At 39.8% G+C, this 13694-nt stretch overlaps 1 protein-coding gene across 4 annotated transcripts in view; it reads right to left on the bottom strand.

Annotated features, from left to right (window-relative positions):
* RASGRF2 (Ras protein specific guanine nucleotide releasing factor 2) overlaps nt 1-13694 on the bottom strand; it is a 269800-nt gene that overhangs the window by 252865 nt on the left and 3241 nt on the right. Inside the window, exon 1 of one of the 4 annotated variants that reach the window (XM_047417464.1) lies at nt 497-1179. The exons of the other annotated variants lie outside the window; for them this stretch is intronic. The gene's annotated coding sequence lies outside the window, so the exon portion shown is untranslated. Of the gene's footprint in view, nt 1-496; nt 1180-13694 lie in introns of those variants that run through there. 4 annotated transcript variants of the gene reach the window in all.

Genomic DNA, 13694 nt, shown 5'->3' with positions numbered 1-13694 from the left:
TGGATCTAGAACTTGAACTTGGGAATTTGGCCTCAATATACTGGACGTTTGGTACCATTCATCCAAATGGAATGCCATGGCTCCTTCCGTGCTATAACAAAGGACAGGCCAGGTAAACAGGAAGGAGGATGGACTCTGCTCAAACCACCATGCTGAAAATAAATTTCTATACTCATGTTCATGGGAGGAAACGACAGTTGGGGCTCTACAATCACAGGATGCTACTATTCAGCCATTTGATGTCACAATTCCAAATAGGTGAACCTTGCCAACAAAACAAATACAAGAGGACGCTATGGACCAAAACAGAAAGACCATGTACATCTAAGGACCCCTTCTCATTTAATTACGCACACAGTGAATGGCACAGGTTGCAGTTTGCCAATGTGTGGCAACATGGTATTCACTGCTCTGGGCCTGGGGAGATTGAAACTTAGAACTTTCTAGTGGCCAGAAAGTGGTAGCATAAATCAAGGCACAGAGGATGTGGACCCACCTTAAAATGTAAGAAATGTCCTCACGGAGTCAAGAGCTGTACCATAGGCAAGGTCTGAAACGGCAAAGAGCTGTGTTTTCTACATCCTCAGTGCCAGGCACCTTGTGGAGCTGGGCAGACACCAAGAAGGAAGCCTGAGCTGCAAGTCAAGAGGTTCAGGAGGAAGACAGTGGGTTCTTCAGACACAGACTGCTGTTCCCCAACACCCGACTTTCTATCATGTCTAAGTTCTCAGGCCCTCAGCACAGAACCCAGCACATAGAGATTATAGAGGTTATGTATACTAGTTCCGATGGAGGAGAATGAGACTGAAGACAAAAACATTTCCTTCCTAGTTATATACTTCCAGCTCCTAGCTAAGGGCCATGCTCACCAAATGCTGTTATTAATTTTGGTTCTATTAACCAGGTTTGCCATTTCGTAAAGGTTTGCCCCAAGTGAATTACTAAACCGTTCTAAGCCTCCTGCAAAACAAGATACTGATATCTCAAGGTGGTTGTGAGGATTAAATGGGATAATATATGGAAAGTGCATGCCTCAGTGTTAACCCCAAATTAGCATTAAACAAAGAGTGGCTCTTACAGTCGTATAACACAAAACAATGTTCATAAAAATTAACAAGTTAGTATACTACAGGCCTACAGAAAGATGATTGCTTTAGCCGGGCGTGGTGGTTACACCTGTAATCCCAGCACTTTGGGAGGCCAAGGCGGGTGGATCACCTGAGGTCAGGAGTTTGAGACCAGCCTGACCAACATGGAGAAACCCCATCTCTACTAAAAATACAAAATTAGTCGGGTGTGGTGGCACATGCCTGTAATCCCAGCTACTCAGAAAGCTGAGGCAGGAGAATCGCTTGAACCTGGGAGGCGGAGGTTGGAGATCGTGCCATTGCACTCCAGCCTGGGCAATGAGAACAAAACTCCGTCTCAAAAAAAAAAAAAAAAAGATGATTGCTTTAAATTAAATGTTCATCAACTAAAATATACAATAGATCAACAGACAGATATCAGGTATGAGAAAATACCTAAAAGCCAAGTTTAAACTAAACCCACTATGTAAGGAATAAATGGGACTCACAGCTTGGTACCCTCAAAATATATACCTCACCACTCATTAGTAAATAAGGATAAATAGCTGTAAAATGTCTTATGACTACAAAATGATATTTTTCTTTTCTTTTGTTCAAATGTACAATGTTCAGCAATGTTCAGAATTAAATTGATAAAATAAGGATTAGTTGTAATTTGACTAATTACTAGCTTATCATTATTGAGCTAGAAGTAATTAACAGGTAAGTTTCCAGAAAATAAGGGGGTTAACTTTTCCACTGTTTTAAAAAGAGTTTCATATGCTTTTAAACTCAAGATTAAAACTCCTGGCTAAGTAGTAATGGCCAAGTAGCTTGTTGCAGACCCACCCCTCAACGACACACGCACTAAGAAGAATTTTCAAAGCTGGACACAATGCCAAAAAGAAAAAAAAAAATCTGTTTGAACTCATCATTAAGCAAACAAGACAGCCAAGACATGAGCAGCAAGGATGCCTGAGAGGAGGGAGGTTCACTGGCAGTGAGTCTGACACTCAGGGAAGCTTTTCGATAAAGAGGCGTTTGCCACTTTATTGGCGTGCAGAGCCAGGAGGCTAAGAAACCAAGCAGAAAGCAGCAGCTAAAAGGCAGGAGACCAGCACTGAGTTCCTGACAATCTCATGGGACTGAGGAGCCAAAAGAGGAAGAGTTGTGTAAATATCCCAAAATTCCAGAGAAGACTCTGGGAAGGCTATACTTTAGAAATTAGGGCAAACTGGAAGTAGACAAGCTCTCAGAAAACCTGAAACCTAGCTGACCAGCTCAATCCCAAAATGGATTAATAGAATGTGCCCCCACACTAATGCCTGCAAGAAAGCAAAAGTAAATCCTCTCTGAAAAAAAAATAACAGGGCCTCAAATTACCACTACGATTTTTCACACCCAATGTCCAGCATTCATCAAAATTACAAGGCATACAGGCAACTATTAGTTTGCTGCCACAGAGTCTTTGTCAAAACCGATTCATAAAGACTTTGTGACTCTCCGGCCTAAATTCCCATCTGAAGATAGATGAAGTCAGATCAAGAACTCACAAGGTGGGAAGGGACACCTCCTTGCTTGTCGAATGGAAATGGCATACTGAAGAATAGAGCTGGTCTGGCGGCCTCAGCTGTATCTTAGCTTTACATTATTAAAAAAGTAGCTAGTGTCCCTCTGGGGGAAAATTTATCCCCAACTCTAATATCTGAACCAAAGACACTGGCTCAATGAGGCCCTGGCACAGATTTCCTAAATGCCTGGGCCTAGTTCACCGATGGTTTGGCTAAGCTGAAACCCAGTGGTGTTCACTAGGGCGCTGTAGCTACTCAGCTTCAGTGTCAGCTGTGCTGAAGCAAAAGCAGATAGATGTTCTTGCAGACAGATGTTCTTGCTTCATTCGGGGGTAGAACTGACTTTTCGGTTGTTGCCAACAGCATAGCTGTTTGTGCTACCACTTGGAAAACTACAGACTGGCAGATTAAAGATACCCTTCTTTGTGGATGTGAATCTGGAAACAAATCATGGCTGCTGATCGAACTGTCTGGAACAATTGCATAGATACTCTCAAATAAGGACTGGTTTTCTGATGGAACCCACCATTCATCAAGTCTGGCTGTTTCTGATGCAGAGGCTACCAATGAATGACAGACTTGTGACTCCTGCCAAAAGCTGACCCATTAGTCTTGCAATGAGAAAGGTCATATTGCAAGGAGCATTACCCACTACTGCTCCTGGCAGATTGGCTACATCAGGCCTTCAAACCCCTCTCAGGGCTATCAATGCTGCCTTACCACTGTTGATACCTTTTCGGATTATTACTGGTCAGCTGTTTCCAGCCACACCATTGTAGCTCTTGAACGAATCTATATACTCAACAATGAACTGGCTGTCCAGCTCCCTCTCTCCCTCATCTCCTCCTGGTCCATACACTTTAGTAAGGTACTTTGATCATTGAATGTACTATCCCCAAAAAGGGATCATCACTTCTTGGCCACTTCCTGGATAATGGTCAGGACAAAATGGGAGCGAGGTGATTATGGAGTATCATAGAGACCTGTTTTGAAAATTCAGGATACCGTCCTGACCATTGCTGCCCATGATGCATTTTTCTTTCCCTCATAGCACCCCCAGGCCAGCCTGGTTGGCTCGCCCTCCAAGTAGCAGCAAAGCTTAAAGGGACCTCCAGGATTCAAACTTAATTCTGCATAAGTTTTATTAAGTGCCCTTGTCCCTTCCAGACAAAACATCTAGGTGTGACTAAGGAATTATTGGGAAAACATGAAGTTAGTGCTACTGGAATGAGATACCCAGAATACGTGGAGGCGCAGGAAGAGCAACAACCCAGCACCCGAGGAGGGAAGACCTCAGATCACAGGAGGATGAGGGAGGGAAGAACATCATGACTTTTGTCTTTCAGAATTGTCCTTGGAGACTTCCTCTAAAAGGAAGACATCCTGGGGTGGCAACCGCAACCTACTGTAAGCACATTCTATTCCACCTATGGTTGGGTCTTCTGTGATCTGTCTGCTTGATTTAACCACAATTTGATCTATCAGAGCAGCAGGGGAGAGGCCCAGTTCCTGCACTTTCTACATAAAACAACTTCAGATGTTGTCCTCATCTCCATTCATTTCATGGACAGATAAATGCCATAAAGAAAAAGAGATAACTTATACTACATAAAGTTTAGAACTTCTGTTCATTAAAGACACCGTTAAGAGAGTAGAAAGGCAAACCACAGCAGGAGAAAATACTTGCAATACATATAACTGACAAAGGACTCATCATATATATTAGGATAAACAATATGAAATTATGATATTTAACCATTTTTGATGTACAGAAATGGTAGGTCATATAGTTTAACTTAATATTTCTAAGTCCTACAAATCAATTAGACAATTCAATAAAAGATGGGTAAAGGTTGAACAAGCACTTCGAAACAGAGAACAGGCTGGTGCGGTGGCTCACGCCTGTAATCCCAGCACTTTGGGAGGCCGAGGTGGGCGGATCACTTGAAGTCAGGAGTTCAAGACCAGCCTGGCCAACATGATGAAACCCTGTCTTTACTAAAAACATAAAAATTAGCTGGGTGTGGTGGCACACACCTATAATCCCAGCTACTCGGAAGGCTGAGGTGGGAGAACTGCTTGAACCCAGGAGGCAAAGACTGCAGTGAGCTGAGCTCATACCACTGCACTCCAGCCTGGGTGACAGAGCAAGACTCTGGCTCAGAAGAAAAAAACAGAGACCAATCAAATGATTGATAAGTACTTGAAAAGGTGCTCAACCTCATTTTTATCAGAGAAATGAAAATCCAAATCAAAATGACATGTTACTACACACCTATTAGAATGCTTACAACTAAAATCCTGATAAGACCAAGGGTTGGCAAGGTTGGAAAGTAACTGGAATTCTTAAACATTGCTGGTGGAAGTATAAATTGATAGAACTATCTTGGAAAACTATTTAGCAAAAATTATTGAAGCTGAATATATGCATGCCCTTTGAAACAACTCCATTCCTGAGTATATATACCCAACAGAAATATGCACATGTATGTACACCAAAAGGCTTGTACAAGACTTTTCAAAGCAGGATTATTTATAACAGCTCCAAATTGGAACCAGCCCAAATGCAGAATAAAGAAATCTTTGTATACTCATTCAGAGGAATACTACCTATAAATGAAAAGGGGCCAGGCACAGTGGCTCATGCCTGTAATCCCAGCACTTTGGGAGGCCAAGGTGGGAGGATCACTTAAGCCCAACAGTTTGCCAGCTTTGGTAACATAAGGAGACACTGTCTCTAAAAAATAAAAAAATAAAAAATAAAATAAAATAAAATAAAAATTAGCTGGGGTGGAGTGCGGTGGCTCATGCCTGTAATCCCAGCACTTTGGGAGGCCAAGGGGGAGCAGATTGCTTGAGCCCAGGCGGTTGAGACCAGCCTGGGCAATATGGCGAAAGCCTGTCTCTAAAAAAATACAAAAAAAAAATTAGCCAGGCATGGTGGTGCATGCCTATAGTCCCAGCTACTTGGGGGGCTGAGATGGGAGAATCACTTGAGCCCAGGACGTCAAGGCTGCAGTGAGCCATGATCATGCCACTGCATTCCAGCCTGGATGACAGAGTAAGAAACTATCTCAAAAAAAAAAAAAAAATACCAGGTGTGGTGGCATGTGCCTGTAGTCCCAGCTAGTCAGGAGGCTGAGGTGGGAGGATCACTTAAGCCTGAGGAGGTGTCGAGGCTGCAGTGAGCCATGATCACATTATTGCACTCCAGCAAGACCCTGTCTCAAAAAAGAGAGAAAGAAAGAAATGAAAAGGAACAAACAACAACGTGGATGAATCTCACAAATATGATGTTGAGGAAGAGAAATCCAACATGAAAGAGTACTTACTTCATGAGTCTGTGAATAGGAAGTTCAAAAACTGGCAAAAGCATTCTATGGTGTCACAAATTAAGGATGGTGGCTACCCACGGTTGGGGTGGTGGAGAGGAATAGGCATGAGGTTAGCTCTGGAGGGCTGATCGTGTCAATGTCTTGATATGGGTGCTGATTACAAAAATATTCACTTTGTGAAAACTCATCAAGTTGCACACCTATGATGTGTGTACTTTTCTGATGTACGCTACATTTTGAAAAATAGGTTTATTTTTAATTTATTGTTACAAGAACAATTGTAAATAATTTTTAAAATATAAAAAAGTAAAGAAAAATTTTGAACATGGACTCTGGGCGGTACAGGTGACAGCGCAGGACCAGAGGACAGAAATGGTGTATTATTGTAAGATCTTGTTGATAAGGTGAGGATGTAAAACTGCTACTGAAGGAAGAGAATGTGGCCTATCACAGTGAATGAACATTGGTTTGGTAAAAGTAATCTTAACTAGCTTGATGAATGCACTAGATGTGTTAATAATTACTATCATGCTCATTAAACGTTCTGTGAAACACCCTCGTCCATAGCCCCTGCTGTTTCGCAGTTAAGCCACGGGCTGGTCAGAGACTGATGATTTTGTCTGGCCCCCAAATTTGAACTGAGACAATCAGATTCTATCTCACAAGAATATGACCCTGGATATGAGAGATGCTGCAGTGAAAACTGAAGCAGGAGAAAAGGGACCACAACACTGAGTTAGTATCATGAGGGTTATGACAACCTGAAGTTAGGGGAAAAAAACCTATGAGGAAAGACTCAGTGAGAAGGCAAACGGGGATAAACACACTGAAAGGTTGGCCAGCAGCAATATCCAAAGAAGAGCTAAGTCCCCATAAAGAGCACTACTCACCTGTATATTGTCTTGTAATATTCCCACTGTTCCCCTCAACACTCAGAGGTGATCATTATTCAAGACAACTCTAGTTCATACCTCTCCCTTGCAATCAAAAGGGCCTAAAACAATCAGTCATAGGACAGAAACCAACTAACCCTAGATAAAAGTTTAACAATACTAGAAAAAGCCAACTACACACTTGATTAATGAAGCCTTAGTAACTGCCCTAAAATAATATTGACCAGCTGTTGGGTCTCAGAATTGATTGTGAAAGTTGGATGAGACATTAGCTCATGGATGACATTCTCACTGTTGAAAAACTGTGCAAAGGGCGCGGTGGCTCATGCCTGTAATCCCAGCACTTTGGGAGGCCAAGGCGGGCAGATCACCTGAGGTTAGGAGTTCAAGACCAGCCTGACCAACATGGAGAAATCCTGTCTCTACTAAAAATACAAAATTAGTCGGGGTGGTGGTGCATGCCTGTAATCCCAGCTACTCGAGAGGCTGAGGCAGGAGAATCGCTTGAACCCAGGTCGCGGAGGTTGCAGTGAGCCAAGATCGCACCATTGCACTCCAGCCTGGGCAACAAGAGCAAAACTCTGTCTCAAAAAAAAAAAAAAAAAAAAAAAAAAAAGAAGAAGAAGTATTATTGGCATCTGTGTAGGAAACTCTTATCCTTGATTCTAAATAAGAGTGCTTAGCCAGGCGCAGTGGCTCACGCCTGTAATCCCAGCACTTTGGGAGGCCGAGACGGGCGGATCACGAGGTCAGGAGATCGAGATCATCCTGGCTAACACGGTGAAACCCCGTCTCTACTAAAAATACAAAAAAAAATTAGCCGGGCGTGGTGGCGGGTGCCTGTAGTCCCAGCTACTTGGGAGGCTGAGGCAGGAGAATGGTGTGAACCCTGGAGGCGGAGCTTGCAGTGAGCCAAGATCGCGCCACTGCACTCCAGCGTGGGTGACAGAGTGAGACTCTGTCTCAAAAAAAAAAAAGAAAAAAGAAAAAAGAGTGCTGGCCAGTCGTGGTGGCTCACGCCTGTAAACCCAACACTTTGGGAGGCCAAGGGGGGCAGATCACAAGGTCAGGAGTTCGAGACCAGCCTGACCAACATGGTGAAACCCTGTCTCTACTAAAAAAAGAATGCAAAAGTTAGCCGGGTGTGGTGGTGCACACCTGTAATCCCAGGTACTCAGGAGGCTTACACAGGAGAATCACTTGAACCTGGGAGGCAGAGATTGCCGTGAGCTGAGATGGCGCCACTGCACTCCAGCCTGGGTGACAGAGCGAGACTCCAACTTAAAAAAAAAAAAAAAAAAAAAAAAAGAGTCCTGCACAGCTGGAGGAGCTGGGTAAATGGAAAGAAGATCTCAGTAAGAGGATCACCAATGATTTAATTGCCCCTTAGAGTGGGATCAAATCATGAAAACACTTTACACCATGATCATGGTTATGCAATTCATTTTGGCCAGGGAGAGTGGCTCATGCTGGTAATCTCAGCACTTTGGGAGGCCAAGGTAGGAGAATTGCTTGAGGCCAGGAGTTCAAGACGAGCCTGGGCAACACAGGGAGACCCCATCTCCAAAAAAAAATAAATAATTAGCTGGGTGTGGTGGCACACATTTGTAGTCCCAACTACTTGGGAGGCTGAGGAAGGAGGATCGCTAGAGCTCAGGAGTTCAAGGCTTCAGTAAGCTATGACTGCGCCACTTCACTCCAGCCCAGGTGACAGAGCAAGACTCCGTCTCAATTTTTAAAATTGATTCAAACTTCCTTCCCTTTAAGATTTAACATACTAGGACTTATTTAAAAGCCAATTCCATCTCCTTTATGTCTTCACAACTATTGTCTTAAGTTTTTTCCTTTATTATAACATGAAAGAAACAAAAAAGAGGGCTACCTTTATAATAGCACACATTATTAACAGAAACTCATTATGAACTCTTTCCAAGATAGTCCTTTTCAGAGCTATATCCAGTGCAATCTCCAGTGCCAAAAAAGTGCTATGCCAAAAAGGAAAAAAGTTCCTTATTTACAAGTGAAATAATACAATGTCTGGAACTTGCTTTAAAGTGGTCTAACAAAAAAAAAAATGTACACATGGAGACAGATAAAACAAGAATGGCAGAAAGATGAAGATGTTGAAGCTGGAGGATGAGTAGGTTGGCATTCCCTGAAATATTCTATTTTGTGTGTGTTAAAGTATTTTTGAAAGGGAAAGGAAAGGAAAATACTTTCTAAGTCATCCTAATAATGAAAATAAAAAGAGGAATATCAAAGAGAGTAATAAAAATGCTAGCTGGCAAATGTGCTGACCATTCACCATGTGCCAGGCCTATGCCAAGAGCTTGGCCTGTGAGCCTCACAACAACCTGATGGAGCAGGTACTATCCGGATCTCCATATTCCAGGCAGGGAGCCAGGCTTAGAAAGAGAAATTGCTCAAGATCATGTGTCTGGTAAGTAGCAGAGCCAAGACTGAATCCTATGCAGTTTAAATCCTGAACTGAACCATACACAACACCAGCACTTCACCTAGAAACTGATATTCTTACATTCTTAAAAGAAAGCAAATTCATATTAATATGAGTGGCCTCCTATTCCTATGAATCACTGACATTATCTCGTCATGACTTCTTTTGTGATCAGTTATAATGTTATCTACTGAGCCTTAGACCAAGTTATCACCTCCCTATTTCCACATTGCTAAATGCAGGAAACCTCCTAGCTTTTCAACAGTCCCTCTATTTGAAAGAACTGACCCCACTGTTTACATTAGTCACACAAATGGCATGGGCTTATAAATACAGTCCAGGAAATGAATCAGGCATGTCTAAATTAAATCAGACAATGACAAAATGAAACACTTCAGTACCCTGAAAATAATAAAAAGTACCACTCATATCCCTGCTGTTTCCATCACCACAGGTCTTCACAATGTCATACTGGTAAGTATCATAAGAGCTAAAAACAGATATTGTGACCTGAATTTTTTTTTAATTAAGCACTAAAGGATCAATAAATTTTATTTTATTTTTATTTATTTCTTTACCAAGAGATGTTATGTGTTTATTTATTTATTTTGCCCAGGCTGGAGTGTAATGGCGTGATCTCGACTAACTGCAACCTCCACCTCCCAGGTTCAAGTGATTCTCCTGCCTCAGCCTCCTGAGTAGCTGGGATTACAGGCATGCTCCACCACGCCTGGCTAATTTTGTATTTTTAGTACAGACAGGGTTTCGCCATGTTGGTCAGGCTGGTCTCTAACTCCTGACCTCAGGTGATCCACCTGCCTCGACCTCCCAAAGTGCTGGGATTATAGGCGTGAGCCACTACACCCGGCCAACAAATTTTATTTTTAAGGATTGCTTTTTTTACATCATTTTATCTTTATCTTCTCAGATCTTATGAGAATTAAAATTCTGATTAACTTATTTAATCTAAAGCTGTAAATTATTCTTATATAGGCCTCCCCAACTTTCTGTCTCATTTCTTGCTTTACAGTTTTTTAACAAAGAAAAGAAACACTGTAGTATATTAGTTAAATAAACACAGACCAACTCAAACTTGTTATTTTTTTCCTGCTTTCTCCCTAAAAGTATATTTGAAGCATTTTGTAGTCACTGTAATAAGTTTTAGGAAAAATGATTTGAATCCTTATTTTTCATTAAATCATTAGTTTTTCAAGTGCCAGTAAAAAAATAAAACTGTGAGTCCATGTGCTTTTTGCATCTCTGTTCCACCTACTGATGCCAATATTTTCTGCAACAACAACAACAACAACAAACCTGCTACTGTTTTTTTCTAAATATATACACAATTACATTTTTAACTCCTTGGGCAAAAATGCTAACATATTCCCTTTGGCGGAACCAAATTCATGTATTTATAACTTCTCAATCAGCTAAAATTTAAAAGTTGCACCAATAAAAATGTAATGGATAATTTTAGAATAATGGTTAGATTTTAGAATAAAGGCCAAATGTTATAAAATAATCAAACATTTATCACAGTGCTATGTTGATATTTAACAAATATCATTTCTAGTTTCATTTAAATATCAATAAAATTTTACTATTTACAGTCTTTGTTTAAGGTAAACTAATTTCAGAGAGGAATTTATATTGTGAGTAATTTAACAGAATCATTCCATATCCTTAGTCCTGAAAAATAAAGCTCCCCAAATTATAGATAGATGGGATTTATAACTCAGGTCTTGAAATGTTAATGTACAAATCAAAATCTGCAAACTCCAATATATAACCGCCTAACAAAGGTTTAATATTCAACGGTAGAAAATAGTAGAAGGGTAACAAACTGAATAAACACCACACACACACATACACACACACACACACACACACACAAACATATATCCCTTTCTTGTAGAACAAATAAATAGGTATAAAAATAGAAAGCCACTTTAAACCTGTGAAAAGTAGAATTTAAGACTTGAGCAAATCCATATGGTTGGTCAATCTGACTTATTTCATTACAAAATAATCATAAAGACTAAGTAATTTCATTCCAAAAAATTAAAATTATACTGACTGTGGCATGCATATTTAAGTAGTATTGAAAACTGCAGAAAAAAATCCATTTAAAAATATAATCTGCATTAAACAGACAGCAATATCAGCAATTGTTTTAATGAACCACTGACATTTGCTTGCTAAAACCAGAAACATTTGGTTATCACACATGCTTTAGGTCTTGTCATCATCCAGTGGGAGAAAAATTTCTCTATTTTTTAATTGTCAAAAGAAGGGAAAAATTGTTATAACACTACAAGTATTTTCTACCCCTCGACAATGCGCTTAGTTGTCACTTAATGAAACCCACAGAAAAATAGTTGTTCACAACAATAATGCATTTTTATGTATTAATACATCTGTCACATCAGGGATGGACTTTTCTGTGTTGAATTCTTACACAACAATCTAAATAGTAAGGCTTAGTGTAGCCAAAATTAAAATAACTCAATTTTGCTAATCCATGAGATTTTTTTTTCATTTAACTTTAAAGAGAAGGATAATTACAAAGTTTAAGTAATAAATTATTTTGTTCCCTAAATTATATTTTTTAACATTGTATAAGATTTAGCAAATATCATTATTCCATTTTCCCTTTGTGTTCAGTAAACAAAAGTTGAGTTGGTTATAATTAGACAACGTGAAGTAGTATGAAAATCCACCATCCACACTCTCCATCTCCCACAAATATTTCAGAGTTCGCACGCAGCTCTGCCTAATTCATTCGATGATTAAAATCCTCTGCTTGTGGTCAATTTAGGAAGGCTAAAATGACTAGTAATGAAGTGACAGGAAATCACATAGCCTTTAATCCCTTTAAAATTAAACCAACATGTTTAATTCAGCACAAATGCAAATGTCTACTTCTTTAAACCTCCAGAGCGAAAGAGATATTTTACCCCCCAAAACAAGTGAAATCAGGCTGAAGAGAACATTTACCACCACCAGAAAAATAAGAATCAAGGTGGCTTTTTTGCTATGTGTCTTCTCCTGCTAGTAGGCAAGACAGATACTGCCACTGAAACAGAGCAGACTAACTGGGATGTGTACTTTCACCCTAAATGCAAATATTTTTAAAGGTACCCCATTCCTGAAGTAAATGAATTCCTGAAGTAATGTCATGTAAAACTGCTTGTTTAAAAATAAATCCCGTTTTTCTTTGAACATGTAATGGTCTGCAATCGTATTTCTCAAGAATTACAACTGCCATTTAAATAGTTTTGAAAAGGAAATAAGAATAAACAAAACAGTGATTCACATCCTATACCCCAAGCCCCCATCCATCTAGATTTGCTCAGTGGATTTAAAAACAGTCTTAGTAAGGAACTCTTCAACATAATTTAGTCTTTATATCTTCAACTGGACTTTGATCATCTCCCCAGAAGTCTTTGAGTTTCAGTGTTAGCAATAGGTAATAATAACGATGATGTTAATACTCATCATCTCCAAAAGCTGAAGTTCAAATTAGATGAGGTAAGAGAGGATAACAGCCACCAAGAGCACAGAGCCTACCATGTAGAAGGTACTTGCTAAATACAACTTCCCTTTCTCCTTCACCTGGAACAAAACGGGAGGTTTTCATTTTCCACAAATGGAGCTTAACTAGAAAGAAGTGCCATCGGACACCTTTTTAAGAAAAGGAACAACACTTTTGGAGAAAATAAACCACTTAAAATTGTTTTTAACTGATCTCATTTTGATTATATCACCATTGCTATCCCAAAGAAGTAGTCACTATGGAAGGCTGATAAGAGAGCCTTGCAATCCTCCAAAGACTCATCAAAGTGAAATCTGAGAACACTATGAAAAAAATAGAGCAATGCAAATATTCCTACAATCTAAGCATATTTGGAAAGTGACTTTCTTTTTTCTGCTTAACTGGAAACAATTTAAGTCCAAGTGTAAAAAAAAAAAAAAAACGGATTTTTTTGTTGTTGTCAACCAACTTATTTTGAATTGTTATTTACAGGAAGCAAACCAATGGGTGTTTTCTTCTTGTAACTTACCTAAAAACACAACTAATAAGCATAAAAATCATTGAAGGATATGTGGACTTTAAGCTCCCAAGAATGCTTAGAGGCAGTTTATAGCAATAATTACATCAACTATTGTAACTGTCAAGGGGATTACAATAAATATGTCGCCCTCCAATGTGAGTAATAAGAATGTCTCTGCCTCAGGCAATGATGTTACTATAGGTTTGCACATCTGCTGACCTAACTAATTTATCAGAATGTCCACTTCAATCACCTGCTTGTCCTCGGCTTTTCAGATGCAGTATTTATTACAAACACTGGTAATCTCTGAATCTTGTG

Source organism: Homo sapiens, chromosome 5 (genome assembly GCF_000001405.40).
Source record: "Homo sapiens chromosome 5, GRCh38.p14 Primary Assembly".
Lineage (NCBI taxonomy): Eukaryota > Metazoa > Chordata > Mammalia > Primates > Hominidae > Homo > Homo sapiens.
This window is presented reverse-complemented; position numbering and strand designations above follow the sequence as displayed.